We start from the raw sequence: 26,961 nt of genomic DNA, 5'->3' as shown, positions 1-26,961 counted from the left end.
CCAATAGAATTTGGGAGACACTGTACTCTGCCCCCCTCTCAAGAGCATCATCAGGCACCTACGATATGAAAGGCTCAGAAAGGTCCTGTAACAAGGACCTGTGTATACCCTACTGATCCCCAAACTGATTGGACAGGAAAGTCTTTTGTCTGTGTGACACTCTATATTGGTTAAGAATTGCCTCCAGCTGCATGAAGCAGAAACCTAGCCGTAGTGGCTTAGCCAAATAGGGACTTATTTCCATTCCCCAGAAAGTCCAGAGGTTGGCAACCCGGGGCTGGTGCAGCGACTCCTTATGGTACCAATGTGCCAGGCTCCTGTCTGCCTGCTCTGCCATGCTTAGCAGGTGGTATTTTTTATCCTGAAAGTTTGCAGCTACTCCATTTCCAGCCTTTAACTACCTTCTAGACAGGGAGAAGGAGGAGGAAGAGGTGAGGGAAAAGGATAGTATTTCCATCAGGAAATTAGACTTTCTCAGAAATTCCCAGAAGATTTGTGCTAACACGTTATTGACCAAGACTGTATCAAATGGTTGCTTCTAGCTTTGGGGAAGGCTGGGAAATGCGGTTTTTTTTTTAGCTGGCCATATTGTTCCCTGATAGGGAGGAAGAAGGGGAGGTGAATATTGCCTAGCTAGCAGTGACTGCCACACATATAACTTCCCCTGGCATTAGTGACCAGGAAGTTGCCCTTGTTAAACATTTGTCCTAACTGTCCTTCACAAGAGAGTGCTTCCTATGCAATTCTAGGTTTTTAGCATTAGCCTCTGATATGGTTTGGCTTTGTGTCCCCACCCAAATCTCATCTTGAATTATAATCCCCTATTCCCCGTGTGTCATGGGAGGGACCCTGTGGGAGGTAATTGAATCATGGAGGTGGTTTCCCCCATGCTGTTCTCCTGATAGTGAGTGAGTTCTCATGAGATCTAATGGTTTTATAAGCATCTGGCATTTCCCCTGCTGGCTCTCATTCTTTCTCCTGCCGCCTTGTGAAGAGGTGTCTTCTGCCATGATTGTAAGTTTCCTGAGGCCTCACCAGCCATGCAAAACTATGAGTCAGTTAAACCTCTTATCTCTATAAATTACCCAGTCTCAGGTATTCCTTCATAGCAACATGAGAACGGACTAATACAGCCTCCAAGTTTGATCCTGCCAAACAGGATCTGTACTGAGTTAGTTCAGTACAGCTCAAGCAGTTTAAGTGTGCCCATACTTATATAGCTCAATGCTGCACTAAGTGCCTTTAAAATTATTTAATGGCTTGAACTGTGTTGCACTCCTAAGCTAATTTCATTTTCTTTAATGTGCAATAATGGCATTTGGGACTTACCTCTCTACAAACCTCCAAAATCCTTTGGACATATAGCTGCCACATTTAAAGTAATATACTTGAAATGCATTGTAGAAGCAATGCTTTCTTCTGGCCAGCATTTTAAGTGGTGAAAAGACAGAAGCTTTCACTTTCTCAAAGAGTGGCTCAGAGGACCTTGTCAGTGGCAGGGGTTTTCAGTGATCACTTCTGTGGTCACACGTTCTAATCACCAGGGGAGCCAAAGAGCAAGTCTCCATTCCCAGGTAGGAAGTGCTCTGCTTTGGATCTGGATAAAATGGACCTGCTATGAGGAGCCTATTGTGGCAGGAGAAGCCATAAAGATCTTTGTCTTTTAGTTCTCCTTGTTTTACCTTAAGTGGTCAGAGAGGCCACACAAGACCAGAGGGAAGGAGTCTAGTTACTGCAGCATAACTCAGCTTACTTTGATGAATAATAATGTCAATGATAGCTACACAGAGACACAGAATAGATTCCAAAAAAGGATTCCTTTTTTTTTTTTTTTATCAGTGTTTGAATATGTGACATTTCTAATTTTACCTCTAAATACTTGGAGTGAGGAGGAGGGCAGGACCCACATGATAAGGCAATCATGTCTTCAAACTTAAGAACAGAAATTTTCTTCACAAGTGAGGGCATGGTGTCCCAGGAGAAAAACTATATGGAGGTTGTGCCATCTCCATGCCCTGCTGTGACCACAAGCTCTTTTTTTGGTTCTGGGTGCAAAGATTAAAAAAACACTTGTTTTTCCTATCAGCAATAATATGTCAAGATTTTTAAAAACCATTAAAAATTTATGCCATTATAAATTTTCAAGGAAGTGCAGGTCACATAAAGCCTCATATCCAAAGGTGGAAGCTGAAAAGAGCAAATGCCTTTGTACCATTTCGATTGTTGACCTACTATACAAAAAACAATTGAATTTCAAATTTTAATCCCATTGAGTGCAAAGGAAACAATTTGTTTTCAAATTTCCACTGAGTAATATTTCAGAAAGGTCAATCTGAGATTATAAGTGGCTCCCAAGTCACTAGTCCCTAAAGAGATACTGTCGCTGAACACAAAATGTGTGTAGAAGATATAAAGAAAAGGGTAATGTAGCAGAAGACAGGATGGGTTTCTCTTGCCTGAGTGACTATGCTGTGGCATGATGGGAAAGCATGACTCATAATGGGTGAACACATAGCATGATAGGAAGGCATATAGCATGATGGGAGAGCATGTGGCATGATAGAGCCTGTGGCATGATGGGAGAACACATGGCATGATGCGAGAGCATGTGGCATGATGGGAGAGCACACGCATGATGGAAAAGCACATGGCATGATGGGAAAGCACATGGCATGATGGGAGAGCACATGGCATGATGGGAGAGCACATGGCATGATGGGAGAGCATGTGGCATGATGGGAGAGCACTTACCATACAGCTCTGGATTGTAATCTTGAGGTTCAGCTTTCTTGTTTAAATCCATATTGGACTCTTAGGCTGGGCATGGTGGCTCACGCCTGTAATCCCAGCAGTTTGGGAGGCCGAGACAGGTGGATCTTGAGGTCAGGAGATCGAGACCATCCTGGCTAACACGGTGAAACCCCATCTCTACTAAAAATACAAAAAATTAGCTGGGTGTGGTGGCGGGTGCCTGTAGTCCCAGCTACTCGGGAGGCTGAGGCAGGAGAATGGCGTGAACCTGGGAGGCGGAGCTTACAGTGAGCCAAGATCAGCTCCACTGCACTCCAGCCTGGGCGACAGAGCGAGACTCTGTCTCAAAAAAAAAAAAAAAAAAAATCCATATTGGACTGTTAGCTCCTGGAGTGCAGGGACCATTTGCTAAATCTTTGCTGTCTCTCAGCACTTAGCCCAGTTTTCAAAAACTGTGAGAAGAGTAGACATTTGGATAACAATGATGCCTAAGTAAATCTATCCAAAAACATTTGGCTCAGATGCTAACCTGGCAGGCCCAGGCTGTGGGTCAGTGGTGGGAAGGCCAGGCATGGGGGCTGTTGCTATCTTGCCAGAGTGTGGATGAGACCTGAATTCTGAGGAGGCAGAGAAATCCTAGAGGCCAGTGGACTCAGTGAGTATCCTAGGGCTACACAGCTGACAAACTAATAAATACAAACTTGACTCCAATTGTTTTCCCTCCCGGCCCAGTGTTTTCCCATCCTACCCTATTGGGGAAGTGGTAGAGTCAGACTGCGTGAGTTAGAATCCTAATTGCCCCCAAGTACTAGCAATGGGAACTTGCACATGTCTACTCACCTCTCCTACTGTTTCCTCATCTTGGTGGTACCTACTTCAGTAAGGTTATTGTGGGGACTAAAGGGTTAATGCTTGGAGTTAGTGCCTGGTCCCATGAATGTTCCATAAGTATTAGCAGCTGCAAGCTGTACTACTGCTGATGCTTTTAATGTTTGCATATTCTTTAAAGCTCCAAAAGGAAAAGGAAGCTGAGTAGTATGCTAGGTACTGTAATCAAAGAGAACTATTCGAGAGATTTACCATGGTAAATAATTCCACCACCCACTGATGAGCGCCCTCAGAGCTCATAGAAGAGGCCTATTAATTCTGCTCCAGAGATCAGAGAAAATCTCACAAAGGGGTTGACATTTGAGCTGGGCCTTACAAAGCAAGTTGGAATATTCTTGCTTGGTTCGATTCCTTCTTGGAAGAATCCCTTTAATCACAAAAGGTATTTTATTTATTGGGTGCTATTTTACAAGTCATTATCATAACGACAGTCTCACTAGCTCATTATTGAGTTCTGAAAAAGGGATATCTATTATTTACAACTTTTCCCTGTCATTTCCATAACCTGTAGGTTTTCAAAATAGATTTGTTTCACAGTGAATTTAGATAAAAACAGTCCTTATTTTGACAATAACTTACATTGAGTGATATTTATGTAATACATACAATTAATCTGTTTCTCTAACTGTTGGCTACAGGGGTTGGACTCAATTTATCTCCTCTCTGCAGGGTCTTTTGTTGTCCTTGGATACCACCTCACATATGTCCCTGAGTATATAAACTCATTAATCATAAAGATGGTGACATTCCTTGGAGTAATTGGACATTATATAAAAAGCATCTGCTGTGCTTTCTCAGGAAAGAGGGGCAAGCAATCTACTGTTCCTAGCTGCTCTCCTGGGAGGGTTTTTGGTGAGGCTATAGTCTGGCTTTGGATGGAGATCTCCTGCCCCTCCTGCTTTCCCAGCACGTGCCATTTTTCTGTTTTGTGTGGGGATGTTAGAAACACTGTGAACCTCAGAGAGGCGGCCTGCATCTCAGGAAGAGACCAACCCCTTCACATCTAAGTACAATGTTCACACTCTGAAGCCCTCCTCTCACATCTTAACTTGTTCCCTCTCCTCTGATTCTGTACTTTGTGGTACTGTCCAGAAAGGAGTGTGGGAATAAGAAACAAAAACAACAACAACAACCCTACAGCAAGAATGGGGTTGGGGTACTTTAATAGTTCACCTTGAAATCTTCTTTTTTTTTTATTTTGAGACGGAGTATCGCTCTGTCGCCCAGGCTGGAGTGCAGTGGCATGATCTCGGCCCACTGCAAGCTCCGCCCTCCGGGTTCACACCATTCTCCTGCCTCAGCTTCCCGAGTAGTTGGGACTACAGGCGCCCGCCACCACGCCCGGCTAATTTTTTGTATTTTTAGTAGAGACGGGGTTTCACCATGTTAGCCAGGATGGTCTCGATCTCCTGACCTCAAGATCCGCCCGCCTCGGCCTCCCAAAGTGCTGGGATTACAATCGTGAGCCACCGTGCCCGGCCGTTCACCTTGAAATCTTAAGTTCAGTTCCATTAACTGATCCAATGCTCGAAAGAAGACAATTAGAGGTACATTCAAGTCACCACCAAGTCCTGTGTTTTGTTTTGTTTGTTTTTGTCTCCTAAACATCCGAAGCCTATCCACTGTTCTCCAGCTCCCCCAGGCCCTGATTCCAAGCCCGGTCTTCCCCACCTGAACATCTGCTGCTGCCTCTAACTGACCCCCACACGCCCACTAGTGACCCATCCCCTATTCTATTTTTCAGTGTGAGCATTCAATATGAAAATGGGACCTTGCTATCCTCCATTTAAAGCCCATTAATGTTTCCCATTATTCTTAGAAAAAAGGCAGAATTCCTCTGTGCTCGAATCTCATAGACCTTACCCTTTGCCACTCAGCTTCAGCCACAATGGACTTCTTTCAGCTCCTTCAACTCATCAAATGCTGTCTAGCTTTCGAGCCTTACATTAGCTGTTCCCTGCACTAGGAATGCCCTTTCATGTCATTTATATCTCAGCCTTCCACCTCTTCAGAGGTCATTTTCCCTTTTTCTCCCTGTCCCAGCATGTCTGTATGTATTGTCCACACATACAGCTATACAAACACATAACACACAATTTAGTTCAGAACCGTTTGAATGAAGTGCAGATATCATGCTATAATAAATACTTCAATGTGTGTTTCCTGAAAACAAAGACATTCTGTTACATAATTGCCCAATACAATTTTTGGTAATTGTAAACTAGACAATTAACATCGACAAACCTTTCATAAACCAGGCAATTAACATTGGTACAATCCTACTATCTAATCTATAGGGTTTATTCAAATTTTGCCAATTCCAATTATTTCCATGGTGGTTACCAAATGGTGACTATGTTGCCCTATTTTAATTCTTGTCATAGTTCTTATTACTCTGAGTTTTAAGAGTGTAGGATGTATTATCCATTTAGGATGTAAACACTAAAAATAAGCTCCTTACCTGGCCTGTTTACTCCTGTATTTCCCCTGGCACCAGGAACAGTGTCTGACACATAGAAGATAAGTATTTGATTGATGAACAAATGAGTAAATGGCTGACTGGATGGCTATGACCTAGCATGATTTGGCTGCCATGTGTCATCCCTGCTGTCCCCTCTAGGCTTCTCAGCTCTGCTCTGGCCACACTGGCCTTCCTTTAATTCCTCATGCTCTGTATGCTCTGATCTACCACAGGACCTTTGTACCTGCTATAGTAATCTGGCCTGGAACACTTTTTTCTTCCTATTTCATTGTTGACTCTTGTTTTTCCTTACAAGACTTGATGACTTTAAATACAGTATAGCCACAGCTTCCAGGAAGCCTCTACTCTAGGTTTTTCAAACCAGATTTATTTTTAAATAGACCTGGCAAGTATTTCAGAATTTTACAAACTTCTTTGAAATGTTACACACTTGTTGAGAAGAAAGAGCATTTTCTTCTCTTCTTCTCCCACTGTTAAGTGTTTTGAAGCAGATATTGTCCCTAATAAATTACCTGACTGGTGGTAACATACAAAGCAGCCTGGAGAGAGGAGACAGCCATAAGACGCTGCCTCTTCCTCTGTGAAATGCTGAACTTTTCCTTTCGACCAGAGGTGCCTTATGCTCACATTTCTTTCATGGTAATCCAGCTCTCAGAGAAGTGGAGTAAAAATACAACCAAATTATATTTTGCACATGTCCTTTTATGAGTCATATGCTACTGTATGTATTATCCAATTACACATGCACAGTACTGTGTGGGGTGATACATGGAGAGCCATGCCCTATTCCTCATGTCCACTGAGGAGATGTTCAATGATAATTTTGACTCCAGCCAATATTGACCGTACTGACAGGCTATGGACGCTGACCAGTCTATCATAAGATGTGACTTTGCTGTGATAATTTTGACCTCCTTAGCTAATTCATTAAATACAGTCTTGGATTCTTGAGTGGACTGTGCTATGCAACAGCAGTACTAATATTTTTGAAGCAAGATTCTCACTTAACACATCTGTAACATAGGATCCATAGGATAGGATTTAATAAGATTTTCAAAGAGAGTGTATATTTTTCCCTCATGGGCAAAGTTAAACATACATTGACAAACTTAAATATCACATAACTTAAAAAAACATAACATTAAGATGTATGTAAGTATAGCCAGGGACCTCATTTGTAGGCTCCCTAGGTGCTGTTCAAATGGTGTTCTATGGCAGGGAACATAGAACTCTTTTGCCAGATTTATACATACAGAGCACATCAAGGACTTGAGTGGATTGTATTGCCCTAAAAGGTCAGCCCCAAAGACAGATAATGGCTACAGTACTTTGTTTTCTTTGCGGCATTCCTCTTATTTCATTCACTGTTGTTCTATAGGCAACAAGAGTTGAAGAATCAATAGGTACCAGTTGAGCCTGACTTGATGTTTCACCTTGAGCTCCATCACTTTGATTGCAGATATCGTCATATTTTCTTTTAGAATTCCTGTTCTTCAACCAGCAGTCCATTTCTTTTTTTAAGGGAAATGATTTCACTTCATCTAAAATAAATAATATGTATAAATATTAAAAGTTAGCTAAGAACACCTACAACTTAGTTCTGCCTTGTCAAGAGCTGATTCCAAGCAGATGTAGCTGAGCTGTTTCTGGTGTGTCACTGGGCCCAGTGAATATTTTCTCTGGTAATGTACTTGATTATACATTTTCATGTGAGCAGACACAAATGGGTTTTACTCTCTAAAAAATAACTAGCTCAGAAATAGCACTTTCTTAACCAAAAACATGTTTTGGGTAGTTCTTAAATCTGCATAGGCAGGGAAGCTTTATTCTGACGTCAAGGAAAAGAAGAATTAGCACAAGGTATTGGTAGTCTCAGATGTATTTGAATTAGGAATATTAAAGGTGTAGTATATAATGGCCTTTTAAATAGTTAAAACAGATTGGATCAAATGCTTGTAGAATCCCTGATGTACCTCTTGGAAACTTCCAGGTTCTTGGAACACAGTTTGAAAACTTCAAATCCAGTCCAACATCTTCATTTTATTATTGATTAGAGAAATGTCAAAATTGGTTAATGGATTTGCCTGGGAGCCCACAGCTGGGTGGGATGTGTGGGGGAGGAGCTGGTATTGTGACCGAGGCTGCTGATCACAACAGGCCAACCTATACTGCAGTACCAAGACACCATATGATTTCAGTGGCTGAACACAACAGAAATTTATCTCTTGCTCCTGTTGCATGTCCATTGAGTTTCAGTGTGTGTGTGGGTCCTGTCCCATGTCTTCCTTACTCAGAGATTTAGCTGATGGAGTTGTCATCATCTGGAAATTGCTGGTGACTGCAGCAGGAGGAAGGCTTTAACATGCTTCTTCCCAGAAGAACGTTTGTTCATATTTTATTGACTAGAAAAATACGTATGGGAATGCTGACCTGGAATGTGGTGGGGAAATGTCATCTTCTCCTGTACGCCAAAGTAGAGAGGAAACATATACTGGTGAACAATAGCATCCATCACACTTAAAAGCTTGCCTCCCAAAGGAGCTGCCCTCTTCGTTAATACATTTGCTCTCACTGTCCTTTCTCCTTTATTCTCCCAGAGCACCACTAACACGAAGCTCTTCTGCACATCAGACTCTTAATCAAAGGATTGGGCATATCAGAAGGTAATTATAGTGTAAGGCTGTAAACAACTTTTAAATTCAATGTCAGATGTCAGTAATTCTCAAAATTTATTGATCATTCACTGTTACAGGGAGTTTCTCACTGGCTGTTTCTTTCTATAAGCTACTGTTCTTTGCCGTGTTCTTGTCTTGATGCTCCTGACTCTCTTTCCGTCTCCCATTATTTTCCCACTGCTGATATTTGGTAACTTTCTCTGCAGGGCAATTTATCATTTCTTTTTTTAAATCATCCTCTCCCACATCAAGATTTGTGAAATTTGACAAAGGAGCAGGAACTCACTTTTCACATTTTAAAGGACCCATCAAAAAATTTCTTAGACCAAGGCCGGGCACGGTGGCTCATGCCTATAATCCCAGCACTCTGGGAGGCGAAGGCAGGTGGATCACTTGAGGCCAGGAGTTTGAGACCAGCCTGGCCAACATGGTGAAACCCCGTCTCTACTAAAAATATAAAAATTAGCCAGGCATAGTGGCACACGCCTGTACGCTCAGCTACTCGGGAGGTTGGGGTGGGAGAATCACTTGAAGCCGGGAGGCGGAGGTTGCAGTGAGCTGTGATTGTGCCAGTGTACTCCAGCCTGGGTAACAGAGTGAGACCCTGTCTCAAAAAAATAAATAAATAAAAATAAAAATAAAAAATTTCTTAGACACACACACAAAAACAACAAAAAGCAAACAAACAAACAAAAAAATCCCCACAAAAAACAAGACAACAAAAACTCTGCCATCTCCCTGAGGATAAATGATGCTTCTCCTAGAATGAAGAAATTGTTAGCTGAGGTGTTTTGTTTTTAACCAGCATTTTACTCTGCTCTGCATGCTTGCAGTGAAATTGCTTACTATAATGTAATTTTTGCCACCCAAATCTATTAGGTTTCTGTTTGTATTGTGAGATTGTGGATAGTGAGGAGGGATACCTTTAAGTCTAATTAGTCAACCGATTCAGGTTTCTTGTATTCTCCTATCCTCTTTTTTAAGCCTCTTTGTCAAGGACTGAAAAGCATATTAAAGTAATCCATTATTATTATGATCCTGTTATTTTCTTACTGATTCTCAACAGTTTTTGCTTTACATATATAGTCCAGTGCTATGTTATTTAGTACATAATTGTTCAATAGGATACTTTCATTATGGGGTTTACTTTTTTCAAATATAAAAATATTTTGAATCACTTAGAGCTTTTAACCTTAACTTTTATTGTCTCTGATATAAATATCATAAGCCATAGTTTGTTTATTTTTTCCTGGTGCATATTTATTGATCTAATTATTTTATTATCTATTTTAGTTTTTTAACTTTTATTTTAGGTTCAGGGGTACATGTGCAGGTTTGTGACGTAGGTAAACTTGTGTCACGGGGATTTATTGTGCAGATTATTCCACCATGCAGGTACTAGGCCTAGTATGCAGTAGTTATTTTTTCTGATCTCTCCCTTCTCCCACTCTCCACCCTCAAGTAGGCCCCAGTGTTTGCTGTTCCTTTCTTTGTGTCCATGTGTTCTCATCCTGTAGCTCCCACTTATAAGTGAGAACATGCAGTATTTGGTTTTCTGTTCCTGTGTTAGTTTGCTAAGGATAATGGCCTCCAGCTTCACCCATGTGCCTGCGAAGGATGTGATCTCATTCTTTTTCATGGCTACATAGTATTCCATGGTGTATATATGCCACATTTTCTTTGTCCAGTCTGCCATTGATGGGCATTTAGGTCTTTGCTATTGTGAAAAGTGCTGCAATGAACATATGTGTGCATGTGTCTTCATGGTAGAATGATTTATATTCCTTTGGGTACATAACAGTAATAAGATTGCTGGGTCAAATGGTAGTTCTGCTTTTAGCTCTTTGAGGAATCACCACACTGCTTTCCACAACGGTTGGACAAATTTACACTTCCACCAACACTGTATAAGTGTTTTCTTTTCTCTGCAACCTTGCCAGTATCTGTAATTTTTGACTTTTTAATAATAACCATTCTGACCTGGTGTGAGATGGTATCTCATTGTGGTTTTGATTTGCAGCCCTCTAATTATCAGTGATATTGAGCTTTTTTTCATATGCTTGTTGGCCACATGTATGTCGTCTTTTTAAAAGTGTCTTCATGTCCTTTGCCCACCTTTTAATGGGGTTTTTTTCCTGTAAATTTGTTTAAGTTCCTTATAGATGCTGGATATTACACCTTTGTCAGATACACTGTTTGCAAATATTTCTGCCCATTCTGTAGGTTGTCTGTTTACTCTCCTAATAGTTTCTTTGGCTGTGCAGAAGCTCTTAAGTTTACTTAGATCCCATTTGTCAATTTTTGCTTTTGTTGCAATTGCTCTTGGCATCTTTGTCATGAAATCTTTGCCCATTCCTATGTCCAGAATGGTATTACCTAGGTTGTCTTCGAGGGTTTTTTAATAGTTTTGGGTTTTACATTTAAGTCTTTAATGCATCTTGAGTTGATTTTTGTATATGGTGTAAGGAAGGGGTCCAGTTTCAATCTTCTGCTTATGGCTCAGCTAATTATTTTAAGTAATATTTTATGACTTGATCATAGATACATCTCTTTACAAGTAGCCTAGAGGTGGATTTTGTCTGACTCCCACACCCATCCTGTCACAGGCACTTTTTATGTGTGTCTTCAAATCTCTGGCTGCAATACAGCATTGGAATCCACATCTGTCCCTGGCCATGTTGCATGACCAGCACTGCGGTCCTGGTACAGATGAAGCATGAGGCAATACAGGTGTGAAATGGCTGTGGCCTCTCAAGGAGTAGCTTCCATATCACAGTGGGAAGGTTGCTCACTTTTCTGGAGGGTACAGACCCTGAGCTAGGAGGCAGGCAGGCAGTGAGGGTGGAATAAAGCTTTATCTTTCAGCTGATTAGCTTTCTCTCCTCCAAGTAGCAAAGACAAGTGCCTATATGAATCCCTCTTCATGCTTCTCTTTTCAGTCTCATAGATCTCGATGAGTAAATGATCATTCATCATTCTGGCCCTAGGCTAATTGTCAGTCTTCATTTTTGAAGTTCTTATGTGTTATGATCTAATTTTGTGTGTGAATTGACGTTGGTTTTTAGTGAAAAGTTAGGTGAGGTTGACTCATGGATCACTAGCCAGACAGCATCCTGAACTGGAATTTCTTAGGATATTTATAATCATTTGAACATCCTGTTCTTCCCTTATTGGATTTTTGTTTTGTTTATAGATATGTCTCCCAAGTAGTGTTTAATTTATTTTAAGAATTAAACAAGCTGCAGAAACAACACGAGGCCTCATGGTGTACTGGGCTTTGAAATCAGATGAACCCAGATCCATTGTTCAGCTCTGCCACTTATTGGCTGTGTGCTCCTGAGCAAGTTGCTGAAACTCACTGGGTCTCAGTTTCCTTTTCTATAAAAGGGGGATAGTAATTTCCACTCTAAAGAGTGGTAGTGAAGATCAGGGGCAGGCTGTAGTGTTTTACCCATGACTTGTGCTCCTTTGGCCTCATGTGAATGTGAGAAGCTGAATCACAATCAGAAGAATTTTTTGGGAGATGGAATCAGAACAGGGGGACTTGGATGAATTGAATGTTTCAAAACAGTATCAAGCCTCTTTTTTAAATTTATTTATTTTTATTATACTTTAAGTTCTAGGGTACATGTGCACAATGTGCAGGTTTGTTACATATGTATACATGCGCCATGTTGGTGTGCTGCACCCATTAACTCGTCATTTACATTAGGTATATCTCCTAATGCTATCCCTCCTCCCTCCCCCCACCCCATGACAGGCCCCGGTGTGTGATGTTCCCCTTCCTGTGTCCAAGTGTTCTCATTGTTCAATTCCCACCTATGAGTGAGAACATGCAGTGTTTGGTTTTTTGTCCTTGCGATAGTCTGCTGAGAATGATGGTTTCCAGCTTCATCCATGTCCCTACAAAGGATATGAACTCATCCTTTTTTATGGCTGCATAGTATTCCATTGTGTATATGTGCCACATTTTCTTAATCCAGTCTATCATTGATGGACATTTGGGTTGGTTCCAAGCCTTTGCTATTGTGAATAGTGCCACAATAAACATACTTGTGCATGTGCCTTTATAGCAGTATGATTTATAATCCTTTGGGTATATACCCAGTAATGGGATGGCTGGGTCAAATGGTATTTCTAGTTCTAGATCCTTGAGGAATCGCCACACTGTCTTCCGCAATGGTTGAACTAGTTTACAGTCCCACCAACAGTGTAAAAGTGTTCCTATTTCTCCACATCCTCACCAGCACCTGTTGTTTCCTGACTTTTTAATGATCGCCATTCTAACTGGTGTGAGATGGTATCTCATTGTGGTTTTGATTTGCATTTCTCTGATGGCCATTGATGATGAGCATTTTTTCATGTGTCTGTTGGCTGCATAAATGTCTTCTTTTGAGAAGTGTCTGTTCATATCCTTCACCCACTTTTTGATGGGGTTGTTTGTTTTTTCCTTTTTATAATAGATGCTCCCTCCTTCTCTCCTGGACTAATGATTCTGCTTACCTCCAAGCTCATATTATTCGAGCATTCATTCAACTTAAAAAAAAAAAAACAGCAACACAGTGGGGAGAAATAGATTCTCATTATGTCCAATACAGTGTGAGGAAAAATAGATTTCTCTTCAGAAACCATTAATAAGATCTTCTGAACTAGGCAGCTTCTTGAAAAGTATATGAAAAGTTCTAGAAGTTATGTAGTAAGCTAAATAACTTATCTCAGTACAAAGCACTGTGTCCTGTGTCATGTCTTACTTGGTTTAGAAATTTCAACTGAATGTTGTGGCAGACTTCAGGGGACTGTCATGCTTATACCATGAAACCTGGAGGGTCATTTTGCAAAAATACTTAAAAATTCTAAGTCAGTACAGGTGAGGAGCTATCATAAGTTTTCTGTCTACTCAATAGGAACAGAACCAGTTTAAATGTTGTCACCATGTGAGAAGTCATATCCAGAAATCCCAGTTAACCGGTGCTGTGTTTCTCCTTTATGCTGATGACATTTTAACACTACTTGATGATTAGGACTCCAGGCTTCTGCCTAGCTGGCTCAGCCCTTAATCCAGTGCCAATCCAACTAGTACCTCTTTGACTCTCTCCTTTATGCCATCATACCTGTCCAGTTCTCCTTTGTGACATAGTCTTTATGTGATGGGAGACAGGTCATACCCTCTATCTGATTGTTCTCAGCCTTTCTGCCCCCCACCCCCGGCAGTTAGAGACTCTGGATTTGAGTATAGGGCTTCTTCCCTTGCCCTGTTGTGCCCTCCTGATGGGGGAATGGCATGACTGCCTGGTCAGGCTTCTGCGATGGAAAGTGGGGGAACATGGGCTGTGTGTGGCGGCTCATGCCTGTAATCTCAGCACTTTGGGAGGCCAAGGCAGGCAGATTATTTGAGGTCAGGGGTTCAAAACCAGCCTGGCCAACATGGTGAAACCCCATCTTTACTAAAAAAAAAAAAAAAAAAAAAAAAGCCGGGCATGGCTGCGGGCACCTAAGGCAGAATTGTTTGAACCCAGGAGGCGGAGGTTGCAGTGAGCCAAGATCACGCCACTGCACTCCAGCCTGGGCGACGGAGTGAAACTCCATCTCAAAAGAAAGAAAAGCAAAAAAAAAAAAGCGGGGGAATAGAGATAGAGACTGGGCTTGGAAGGAGAGGTGAACATGGGTGTGGGGATCAAGGAAGAATATGTGGAATGAGGTTTTACATTTGCACAATGACACTGAGTTTGTTAGGAAAGAGGGAGGAGGGAAAGCAGGCAGAGCAAGCAGGCTGGGGCAGAGGAAATTTTAGGGGTGTGGAGGTCGAGGTTTGAGGAAAAAGGCATGGAGGTAGCTGTGTATGTGGGTGCAGCAAAAGGGAAATTTTTAAAAGCTCCCCTGGAGTGTTTGAGAAATTCTAGCAAAAAAAACTTGAGATACTTTAAATTTGGGTTGTGCGAACTGTGCCCCCCATGTGATGGAGTTTTGATGTGCTAATACTGTCAGATTAACATCTAGTCCAAGTAGCTGAGGAGTCATTTTCTTTTCACTTAATCATTATGCAAATCTCTGCCTGCAAACATCCTGTGTGTTCACAGGGTTTCATTCAGAGGGCACTCTTTTTTTTCCCCTTCTTTTCTCTGTTTGGGTGTCTCACTGTACCTTCCTGTGCTGACAAAAAAACAATCACCATCATCATTAATAATAATAATAAAGCAATTATAATAACTGTGACAGTTGGAAAAAGCACTAGGAAAAGTGAAAATCGAACTAATACTGTTTGAAATTTTCGAGATAACAGTTTAACATTTTTTTTCCTCATAATTATTTCAAAATTCTGAACACTTTCTGTAGGTGATTTCACAGTGTCTAAAATAAGGATTCACTCATGAAGACAAATCCTCACTAGCCCCTAGTACACACAAGTTCTTCCAGGGCTATGGGAAATAGAAAGATGGGCCAGAACTTGATCTCTCAGGGCTCTTGGTTTAGAAAGACAGATAACACACTTACTCAAATAGGTGCAATGCAAGCTAGATGGTGGTAAATTCAGAAAGGGTACAGAGGTGGTCGGCTTGGGGAATTCAGAGAATTAAGCACATGGTTGTTTTTTGGATAAGACTGTCCTGAATGGGTGTCATGTCCAAGCTCCCTTTAATTTCATGCCCACCCTCTTCCACAGAGCATATCCCCAAAGATACTGGTCATCCTTTCTCCTCTCCTGCCAGTGGCTGGCTCACTCCTCTGTCTTTCTTCCATTTCAGTTCTCCCTTCCTCAGAAGTAGTGACATTGGGGTCTTCTCTTCCCTCCTTCCAGACCAATGTGCTACCCCTAACTCCCCTAAGTGCCCTGACCTGGGAGCATTTTACCAAGGCCTTTTACCCCAAGAGGCTTCCCTGGGGCAGGCCAGAGTGCCAGGTCTGGTCCATTGGTGATGCCAGTGGGCTACCTTTGTCATCTAGAGCAACATGTGTGTGTGCTTTGAGGGGGTGAGGGGTGGGGGTAGATGTTTTAGAGGGAGAAAGTGCTGGGCCAGCACTGAGTGGCCAATCCTGCTTCCCTAAGCCATTCATATAAGATGGGTCAATCACTTGGCCATTGTCCTAGATCCATGCCAATTGTCCTTTCCTTTTCTATGTAGATAAACTCATTTTTCCCCCATGTGTCTGTTCATCTGGCCTGTGCACCCACCCGATGGTTGGTTTGAGCCATTAATAGAGCCCCCAACTCCAGTGATGTGCTAGAAATTTTGCTAGAGAAAGGGTCTTCAGTGTCCCCGGGGAGAGGGGGGTGGAGATAGCAGGTCCCGGCAGGAGAAGTGGGCGGAAGGCACTGCTGAGGCCAGACCCAGGCTTTCTAATTCTAGAGCTAAGAACGGACTGGTTTCCTTGACAACAGAGATGAAGTCTGCTCATCTGCTGCTAGGGGTGGGCTTTTGTGTGTCTGTGGAAAGCACTGGGACTTGGGGACAAGAAAGGCAATCCTTTCTTTATCAGTACAGCAAGCCATTTCTGAAAATTCGCCAGCTCTTACTGTATTATTAACAATATTAAAACCCTCCCAGGTGGCACAGTGACATCAGTTATGTAATCTGTAAATTGGGAATCCAGATATAGAATCTTCCGTTCCCTTCTGCCTCATTGCCTCTGATCCTTGATACATTTTACCATACCCAGAACACCTTTTTGATAACATGTTTTGTTAGCCAACAGGTACTCAGCCAAATCTGCATTCACTCTTACCACTTTCAATGGCTACATCAAAAGCATTCCTTCCTTCCTTCCTCAACAGGCAATGATTTGTGTGGCCTGGCTGCTGGGAGGAAATTAAACTCAGCGCTTGATAAGCTGATGTTGGCTCAAACCTGCACTTGTCTGATGGCATCTTCAGAAAAGCCTCTGCAATCCAAACCTTCATGCTCAGTGCAAACCAGAAAACTTCCTCTAAAAACTGGTTCATTTGCTTTAACCACCAGGCCTGATTTCAAGGCAGCACATCCTGATAGTGGCATGGTGTTTTATGCATGCACCGCCTTCCCTTCCTTTGCATTATTAAAGCCTCCTTAAAAAGCAGCCGAGGGATCACTGGGGAGAAGACGAGCCAGCAGTGATTTTACATCTCTCTGCAAGAGGCAACATCTGCCACCAGAAAAACTCAGGGAAAAGATTCTGCAAAATTGTAGCCTATGCCAAATCTAATAGAAATGGCCCTTGGACCCTGGGCTTATAAAAGTAGCTAATTTGTTCAAACGTGGCTAATTTTTGTAGCATGTAATCCTTGAATGCTAAATAACCTAGATGGGAAACTGTGAGAGAGACTCATGAGCCAAGAGTGGCTGTGATGAGATGGGAATTAATTAGCAGGGGAAGGCAGATCAGACAGATGTATGAACAGACAGATGGAGGCCAGAACCCTACACTGTTTCCCCCAGGCATTTCAGCAACTCTTTCCCCTTGTGAAGTTCGCAACACTGGGGCTCAAATTTAGCTCCTGCACATCCTCCTCCCCCAAATAACCAGTGGTGAGCTGTGGCATTCTAAAGCCCTCCAAACAGTTCCTTTGTTTCCTTCATCTCCCCAAAGGAAAGACACTGACTTCTCCAGGCAAACAGTGGGCTTGGTTCAGAGGAGACTTTAGCTGGCCGAGTTCTTTATGTAGAGGCAACAACCTCCCAGCCCCCGGGGACCTTACTGCTCTGGCTCTAGACAGACAGGATCCTCTTCTCCATGCTCACCTCTGACATCCCTGAAAGCCATCTGAGGATGGCTCAGGGAGATCCGGGACCAGACCCTGGTCTCGTAGTCTGTCCAGTGCTTTTCCCTCATGATGCAGTGCCTAGAATGCCAGCTTAGTGCCTTGCCTTCTCTGTATAGGGCAGGGGTCAAGTGCATACCCAGGAATTAGGAGAAACTTTCTACTTCATATATATGTGATCTCAATTGATCCAGATATCATTGCATTCAAATGTTTCTCAATTGGACAGGAATTAGTTGTGGACTTACTGTAAGCTCAGCATTCAGCAAGGTGCATGCATCTGGATCTGTGTAGACGAGCTTTAGGAAGGAGTGTTGCTGGCTACATCCAGAGCTGTTTTTGGTGGACAAAATGGTTCTGCAAACTGTGAAGACCTAAAGGCTTCATACTATATATTTTCGTACAACTTCATGCTTTGGTTCCAGCCCACTCACTTTGTCCTGCCTTCCTTCAGAATCATGCCTGGGTTCTCCCCTGCTGCCTGTGCCACTTCATCCTCTCAACTCAATGAGAAGGGAGGGGAAGATTGAAAATATGACCATAAACATTACCTTGGGGCATCAGGTCCCACAGAATATCAGTGGTTTCATTTTGCTTGTGGTGCTTCAAAAATGAAAGGTGGAAGGCACCCCAAAGAATTTCCATTTGTTGTCTTCTGGTGCAGAGCCTGCCACTCATTGGAAGGTTTGGTTAAGGGAAACTTAAGGTTGGTTGGTGCATTGTCTACCTCCTCTTGTGGGACTGCCTGACATGACACATATGGGCTGGCCATATAGCAGGTGCTGCCTAATGAAGGCAGTGTCCCTGGGGAACAGCAGAACTCAGCAGTCCATCGCTGTGGGGTCCGTAGAGGGATTTGTCTTTTCTCCAGCAGCCCATTTATAACTCCAGCAAGAGATCTGTGCAGCCACACATGATCATTGGGCCTTGAGGAAATGAGGGGATTAGAAGGGTCTTGAGGTGTCCTCTGCTTGCACTTTGGTGTGTACATGCACCGAACCAATTCCTGCTGAGCACACCTCTTAACGCTATTCTGGGTGCTGGGGATATGGTGATGCACAAAGTCAGACAAGGCTTTGTCTGCTTAAAACTTCCAGTCTAGTGACAGGTGAAAGCACAGTCTAGTTCTTTGCTATTTTTAGGATTTCAATAAAGAAGTGTCCCCCAATGAACTTTCTCCTAATCGCACATGGTCTTTGCCATTTCCTTTGTCCCATACTTTAGTGTCAGCCTTCTGCTCACATCTCCTTTACCCTAAAGAGGAAGCAATCCTGAGACAGTAGTAGGTGTGGACAGTGGCATCCTGTCCAGGCAGGGTAGTCCTGTGTAGACCCTGGGTAAGCAGACATTTCTTCCTCCTTTTCTCTTTGGTGTCCCATCAGTTTCTAAGTACCCCTTTTCCCCACTTGCCCAGGTGTCCAGGGCTCCCCATTACAATAAAGCAAGGCAGCCTGCATCCTCCTGATATATTCCCCTAAGCACTCCATATTCTTTGGGTTCTCCAACCTGTCAGCCCCTGATGTCTGCAAAGCACCAGGAAGAAAGCTGTCTCATTTGGCCGCATTGATGTATGAAGGATTAAAAATTTAATCACATGTTGCTTAATGACAAGGCTGTGTTCTGAGAAATGCATTGTTTGGTGATTTCATCATTGTGGGAAAATCAGAGAGTGTACTTACACAAACCTAGCCTGTTACACACCTAGGCAATATGGTATAGCCTATTGCTCCTAGGCTGCAAACCTTGCAGCATGTGACCATACTGAATACTGTAGGCAATTACAACACAATGGTAAGTATTTGTGTATCTAGACATAGAAAAAGTACGGTAAAAATATAGTATTATAATCATATGGGACCACCATCACATATGTGGTCTGTCATTGACCAAATCATGCAGCATGTGACTGTATCTGATCAACTCTTCCAGGAGCACTGACTTTTAAAAAGAGGAGACATATTAGTCAAATCAATCTTCAAATGATTGAACTTCAGGCAAAGAGGAGTAGGGGAGGATGTGTAAGTGGCCTGGTAAGATTTGGGGCAGAGAGGCCAGCCTCACTTCATGCCTGTAGGTTAGCTTGCCTTGCCTCTCAGGCTCACATAGACTGTGGCTATTTTGTCCTGCAAACACAGGACATAACAGGTGTGTGTAAATGTGTGCCTGTGTGTCCATGTCTTCTTGTTAGGTCAGTGTTTAACTTGCATGCATCTGTGTGACTAATTTTGGCCCATAGGCCCATGACGGGTGGAGGGGGTCTGCCTTTTGAAGAACCTCTGTGTGCAGAGGCCCGATGTGGTATCATGCTCACATGTCCCCAGCATCCAACCCCAGAGCAGTCACTTTCATCTTCTCACCACTCCATTCACACTGGGGGAAGGGCTGAGATATCTCATGTATAGCATCCCAGGGCTGCAATTTGGGAGCAAAATAGGATTCATTTTCTTGACACTATATTTCACCATTTACAAATGGTAACTATTGCCTGTGGGACTCTTGAGAAATCATGAAGTGTTAATTAGCAGAAGCACTGTGTGTTTAAAATATATGGCACTCTTAAGTAACTATTACTTTAAACCTACTTTGCAGAGTTGAGAAACCATCTGGTCCAAAAATGTGTGGACTTGAATTTTGCTACATATATTAAAAGAAAGTTTTAAATGCTTTTAGAAATGGTCATTTCGTATTATGTTAATTTCCTTAAATATGGAAATGCAGGCTGGAAATGCAAGCCTGGAAGCAGGCAGTGACCTGGTTGTGGTCACAGTCTGGTCTACTCTAGTTGACATCTCCATCTCTCAGAAACAAGGTTTAAATAGTTTCTGATGGTCCAAGGGGGTATTTAGAAAGTGTAAAGGACTGGAACTGCAACTGTGGTTTTTCCTTAGAAGCCACACATTTCAAAACTGTTGATCCCAATGACTCTGGATTCTTTTGGATTAAAACTAAAAATGAAGCATGTCCTGCCATATTTTGCAGAGGTGTGGAGGACAGAAACTGAGAAACCCAGGCCAGTCACTGACAACTAAGTACCCGTGAGTCTTTTTTGGACAAAGCACACCACTCTTGGCCTTGGTTTCTTCATAAGTTCAATGAAGGGGTGGGGAAGAGGTTGGGCTATGTTTCAGTCAGGGCCTAACAAGGTAAATAGAAATTTCTTCAAGTGTTCCAACCGAGGGAATTTAATGCAGAAAATTTACGCAGGTAATGAAGGAGCTGAAAACCAACCAACCAACAAACAAGGCTTGGGGAAGTGGCTCAGAGACCTACCCTGAGGCAGAGGGAGGAAGGAGGTAGTGTTATTCCAGCCCAGGGGTCAAGGTCACCTTGCAGAAACTGGAAGGAACATGGTGCATGGTGGGCCTCTGGCAGAAGCTGGGGCCACGGAGGAGGTATTTCTTGAGACAGTGCATGAGGGAAGGAGTGCCCTGGCATCTCCTCCCATCTTCAGGCAGTGCCTCTAATTGCCCCCAACCCAGCATGGAGCCAGCTGCCATGGGAGCCTGCAGGGGTCAGCAGGAAAGGCTGAGGAATGGTTAGGCCAGTGAAGGCCCAGGCCAGGCTGCCTTCGAAGTCCCTGTAACTCTGACATTCAATGAGAGCTGGAAGCTCAGCGTATCTTTGAGAGTTTGCCGGTGGAAAACCATGCCGACAGGCCCTAGTGGTCTTCAGTGAGGCTTCCCTACTCCCGCACCACCAAAAACAAACATTACCAAGGTGCCTTTTCTGCACTGGACTTGCCTATGTGGGAGGAAGACAAGGCAAGCCCTCAAGGAAGGTGTCTGTGTGTGGGTAGGAGGAGGATGAGAAAGAGGAGATAGAATAGGGCTTATGCTTGTGGGTGGAAAGGGACAGATGAGGCCAGACCCAAAGGTACAGACGTCAAAGGGCTTCTCCCATGAGCGGGGATGGTTACTGTCTGTGCAAAAAGTATATATCCCATCATAAAATAACTCGCAAAAGGGCAATGTCCATAGCATGTTTTTCTAGAGCATTTAATGTATTTTCACACACAGCACCTTTTTCAGAGAGTGTCTTCAATCAATACCTGTCAAACTGGATTGATTTGGTATCCATTCACCTAGTGCACCTCTTCTCGAAGGAGGGCAAGTGGTATTGGCAGGCACACTCTGACATCAGCCCAGGACTGACTCCTCACACAGGCATCTCAGCTGTTGTGAAATTTGAGGTGCAGACTGACCCCCGCTGTGGGCTTCAGGCTCTTTATCTATAAAGCGAGGGGGTTGGGTATATGCTAAGGGCCTTCCCGACTCTGTCACACTGGAGCCCGGCCCAGATCCTGGCAGACAGGTACTGGAAATGGCCTTTTAAGGCAATGGGAAAGAGAGCACATATAGGCCGTGGCCTATGAGGTCCAGACAGAGAGCACTGCAGTGGCCTCAGGGACGGACAAGAGTGACCAGCAGAAGCTCCTTGTAGTGACTCCAAACATTTACTTGTATTTCTTGAATATGACATGGGGAGAATGCGGAGCACAGCAGTGTTTCTTCTAAATCCACTTTTCTCTGCCTTGCCGTTGCCCTTGAACCTCGCAAAGCTTCTCCTCTCTCAACAAAAGGCCCCTACAAATCCACGGACGTCCTTGAAGGTCCCATCCTCCTGTTCTTATCCTGTCTCTCTTCCCTGGCAATTCTGCATTTTATTTATTTATTTATTTATTTATTTATTTATTTATTTATTGACAGAGTCTCCCTCTGTCGCCCAGGCTGGAGTGCAGTGGCACGATCTCAGCTCACTGCAACCTCAGCCTCCTGGGTTCAAGCAATTCTCCTGCTTCAGCCTCCCAAGTAGCTGGGATTACAGGCATGCATCACCACGCCCAGCTAACTTTTGTATATTTTAGTAGAGACAGGGTTTCACCATGTTGGCCAGGCTAGTCTTGAACTCCTGACTGCAAGTGATCTGCCCACCTCAGCCTCCTAAAGTGCGGGGATTATAGGCATGAGCCACCGCGCCTGGCCAATTCTGCATTCTAAAGACCCAAGGAGCCAGTGAGTCAAGGCAGGCTTTTCTGGGAGTTCAGGGAAGAAAAGGGTCTGAGGGAGTGGAAAATCCGGAAATACTCATACAGGAGTCATTTTTGTCCTGACTCATCTACAGAGATGAGTATAGCAGGAAAAGAAGGCAGTTTAGTGGTGAATGGGAGGCACTGGAGCCCAGGAGAGGGAGAGGGAGAGGGAGAGGCAATTAGGCGTTGGGGAATGGAAGGATGGATGAGGAAGGGGAAAGTTCTGCTGGACCCCAGCCACAGAGGCAGGGTCACATGTTGGGGAGTGTTGGGGCTGGTATGGGCTTTGTCTGGAGTAAGCGTTTCATGTAAGAGTGGGAGATGATTTAATGGTAGCTCGAGGAGCTTGAAAGCCACAAGATAACTTTATCCTGTTGTCCTGAAAGAAATGGCACAGTGCCAGTCTTCCTGCTCCGAGTCTATGGCAGACACTGGAAATCAATCCTAGCATTCTTCCCACGGAGCGTGAAGAAGGACTCAAGCCCTTCTAGGTAGCCACTACTGATCGATCAAAGCCTGAACATGGTATAAAAGCTTTGTGACCATTTGGCTGTGGCCCACAAGAAGTCATGGATGGTTTTTCTGGAGCATTTTGAAATATAACCCTGTGTGCATTGTGGGGTTGGGGACTGGAGAGACAGCAGTGGGAGAATCCAGTGAGAATGTAGGCTAAGGGCTCTCTGTATCTCCTACCAATTCCTGTGTTGGATTTCGTAGACCAGCTTTTTAAAAACGTTCTTGACATAGGCTGTTTTAGTGGGTAAAGCTACCTCCCCAAACCTGGGGCATGCATGCCAGGGGCCTCTCCTCTCTTGTCTACCAAAATGAGCTTCTCAGAAGAGCACGGGCTACATTAGAGGTGAACTCTTGTCTTTTTGGATCAAGTGTTTTTCGCCCATAAAAGCATTAACACAAAAGTCCTGATTTATACATTTCCATCAAGTTCATTGAAGTTAGGAACCTGGGATTCTGTCACCAACATTTCCATTCTCCCAGGAATTGTTCTGGGCCCTCCATAAGGCAGGGATCATAAAACCTTTTTCTCACCCCTAGCAAAAAGGATGAGACTACTTCTTGGTTGACCCTGTTAGGGAGTGATGAACTGGAGCAGTCAAAACTCATTAGCACTGCCTGGGTGAGCTGCTATTCAATTCAGAAGCATTGATTGATCCCAGGGACAAGTGCCACTAAAGGTCAATGGCTTCCTTCCACTCTTTATCCCACAGCTGAAAGCTGGGCTCTCATATGCTGTCACAGTGGCCCAGCATTGTGGCTGACTGGATCTACAACCTCTGCCCCTTTGTTTCCAGTGGTTTCCTTTGTCATCATGGTGCTGCTGATGACAATACATTCTTTTTTTTTTTTTTTTTTTTTTTTTTGAGATGGAGTCTCGCTCTGTCGCCCAGGCTGGAGTGCCGTGGCGGGATCTTGGCTCACTGCAAGCTCCGCCTCCTGGGTTCATGCCATTCTCCTGCCTCAGCCTCCCAAGTAGCTGGGACTACAGGCGCCTGCCACTACGCCCGGCTAATTTTTTGTATTTTTAGTAGAGACGGGGTTTCACCGTTTTAGCCGGGATGGTCTCGATCTCCTGACCTCGTGATCCGCCCGCCTTGGCCTCCCAAGACAATACATTCTTAAACTTTGCTACTCAAAGTATGGTTTGTGGACCAGCAACACTGGCATCATTGGGGGCCTTTGAGACATGCATACTCTCAGCCCTCACCCCAGACCTGCTGAATCAGAATCTGCAGGTTAGCAAAATCCTCAGGTGGTTTGTATGTACATTGTGGTTGGAGAAGCACCATGACAGTTTTGGAGGCCAGAAGTCCAAACTCATGGTGTCGGTAGGGCTGTGCTCCATCCAGAAGTTCTAGGGGAGAATGCTTCCGTGCGTCTCCCAGCTTCTGATGGCTCCTGGTGTTCCTTGGCTTGTGGCTGCCTCACTCCAATCTCTGCCTCCATCTTCACAGGGCCATCTCCTGTGTGTCTGTGTCTTATAAGGACACTTGTGAAGGGATTTAGGGCTTACCTGGATGATCCAGGATTATTTCATCTTGAGATGCTTAACTTTATTACATCTGTGAAGATCCATTTTCTAAATAAGATCACATTCACAGGCTCTGGGAGTTAGGACATACACACATATATATATATATATTTTTGGCAGGGGGTTGGGGAGGAATATTCAACCCAATACAGATTCCCTTGGAACATTCCCAGACAGCATTCTTCCCAGGTCCTCACTTGCGCTCAACTTCTTCAGCTAGTCCAGCCTAGTTTTCTGATTTACCCACACTGACTGTAAACTGTCAAATAAGACCAGCATTATTGAATGCTTCTTCTATGACAGGCATTATCCTAAGTGTTTTACATGGATGAACCCATTTAATTGCAACAGCCCCTTGGGGTGGCTACCATAATTACCACTCTGCTTTACAGATGAGGAAACTGAGGTACAGGGTGGTTCGGTAACCCTCGCAGCTTGTAAAAGTACACCCAGGATATAAACTAGGCAGACTGCACAGTCTTTGTTCTTCACCCTTATGGGATAATGCTTCTGAAATTATGAAGGGTTTAAAAGGTTATCTTCCTGACAGAAAGAAGAGGCAGTAGAGGAGAGAGATGGCATCAGGGGCCTTTGTTCCACTTTCTGGAGAGGCTTGGGTGCAAAGAGGCTTGGGTGTATCAAAAATATCTTGATACAGTGTGGGCATCTGTCCTGTCCACACCCAATACTGTGTAAAGTTTGGGGTCCCCCAGCTGTTGGCATGTGTAGGATGTAGAGCACATCTCCCTCACCACTGAGTGGCTGGCACCTAGTACAGTGCCTCGCCTCTGCGTCAGAGGAGCACAAGCACAGCCGTGGCCAGCAGCAACCCCAAGTCCTGCAGCCTTGAGAGGGGGCCCAAGTCAAGGAGAATCCAAAGCAAAAGCAGAGAGCCTGGCAGGGGGGCCTAGAGCCACAAGAGTGATGGCAGCAGGCCTCCTTGTGGGGAGCTTGGGGGAGCAGCCCAGGGAGCCATGCAACCTGGCCTGAGCTCCGGGAAACCCACGTGCATAGTGTGTGTCGGGGAGCAGTGTGAGGGTGGGCGGGGGCAGAGACATACCTGCCCTGGGCAGGTGCACTGCTTCATTAGGAAGCTGGCAGCTGAGCCAAGTTCTGAATCCCTCATGAAGAGGCTACCCAGAAATGCAGGAGGAACATTTCTTATGACAGAGGTACTGCAATGGTCACCATTTAGAAATGAGCACGCAGTGGTGGAGGGGCTCACCAAGGCCACAGAGCTGCTAAGGCCCTCGCTCCACAGCACGGGGTGGGTCCTGGAATGACAGGCTCATGGCAGAACAGTGCTGGCACAGTGTCTGGACAGAGAAGGCACTTGAAAGTATGTATATTGAGTCCACCCCAACACCTTTTTCATTTAACACGATGAAGGTACATGTTTCCACAAGACAGCTTTTAAGGCCTATGTCATGTGTACATCATCCAAGAAGGTCGTTAGGTGGATATTCACTGTGGCCTCATCACTGGGCACTTTTGGTCCATACCCTGCCTTGGGCTAATACATTCCATTTGTTTGCTAACCAGTATATGAAGCCTCATTGAATGTGCTTGAAATGCCCTTTTCTAAGTGGTGAGAGGTGGGGTCTCCCCTTGCATTTACCCTCCTTATACCGTTCATGGTTTTTGGCCTTAGTTTGTAGCCCTTTGCCATTTTTTTTCTCCAGGCCAAAAATCTGACCCCATTCTTTGAGTTCCAAGCTCAAAGAAGATCCTCCTGCGGTGCAAGTGTGTCAGGAGACGGCTGGGCACAGCATTTTGTGCCTATAATTACTGGCTGGGTCAAGGGGGTCAGGGAATTAGCTGAAAAAACCTGTAACCCAGTCCAGACATTCTCACCAGGCATGCAAGCAGTGTTGTAACCAGCACTGGGGGCTGCAGATTACCTGCTCAGACGGAAAAGTGGAGCCCACCATTTAAAGTGCGTATCAGCTAAAAATCTACCTATGTCTTGTAGTGCAGAAATTGAGCAGCAGACATAACCTGCCTGATTTTATTCAGCTCAGTTTCAGATTCGTTGATGTTCCCTTGAGAACATTTGATGGAGCAGTCAGCCCAGATGTGTGCTTGCTGACTAGATAGAATCCAGACTGTGATAAAAAAAAAAAAAATTCAATTGTTGTAATGTTAAGAATCCATATGAGGAATGATTTAATAGTAGCACCTAACATTTGTGGAGTCCTTACTATTTGTTGGGCCCTGTGCAAAGCCTGTGCTTTCATATATTATCTTAGATAATGCTCTGAGGAGGGACTGTTCTTCTCCACATTGGACAAAGAACCTGAGGTTTAGAAAAATTAAGCAACTTGTTCAAGGTCACATAATTAGAAAGAGGCAGAG

The 26,961-nt window shown here is 43.9% G+C and overlaps 1 protein-coding gene across 5 annotated transcripts in view, besides 3 other annotated features; it reads left to right on the top strand.

Moving 5' to 3' along the window:
* ADD2 (adducin 2) overlaps positions 1-26,961 on the top strand; it is a 111,417-nt gene that overhangs the window by 18,076 nt on the left and 66,380 nt on the right. The gene's annotated exons all lie outside the window — the stretch shown is intronic.
* Positions 4,995-5,496: an enhancer, noted in NCBI's record as "H3K4me1 hESC enhancer chr2:70971761-70972262 (GRCh37/hg19 assembly coordinates)". NCBI's record gives its function as "activates a minimal SCP1, AML or CMV promoter by ChIP-STARR-seq in naive H9 embryonic stem cells {active_cell/tissue: H9 hESC(naive)}" and the evidence as "EXISTENCE:reporter gene assay evidence [ECO:0000049][PMID:30033119]".
* Positions 13,289-14,030: an enhancer, noted in NCBI's record as "H3K4me1 hESC enhancer chr2:70963227-70963968 (GRCh37/hg19 assembly coordinates)". NCBI's record gives its function as "activates a minimal SCP1, AML or CMV promoter by ChIP-STARR-seq in primed H9 embryonic stem cells {active_cell/tissue: H9 hESC(primed)}" and the evidence as "EXISTENCE:reporter gene assay evidence [ECO:0000049][PMID:30033119]".
* Positions 16,474-16,768: a silencer, noted in NCBI's record as "tiled region #8528; K562 Repressive non-DNase unmatched - State 23:Low". NCBI's record gives its function as "represses a minimal TATA promoter and a strong SV40 promoter by Sharpr-MPRA in K562 cells {active_cell/tissue: K562}" and the evidence as "EXISTENCE:reporter gene assay evidence [ECO:0000049][PMID:27701403]".

This window comes from Homo sapiens, chromosome 2 (genome assembly GCF_000001405.40).
Source record: "Homo sapiens chromosome 2, GRCh38.p14 Primary Assembly".
Classification (NCBI taxonomy): domain Eukaryota; kingdom Metazoa; phylum Chordata; class Mammalia; order Primates; family Hominidae; genus Homo; species Homo sapiens.
The sequence above is the reverse complement of the archived record's forward strand: the minus strand, read 5'-3'. Positions and strand labels throughout refer to the sequence as shown.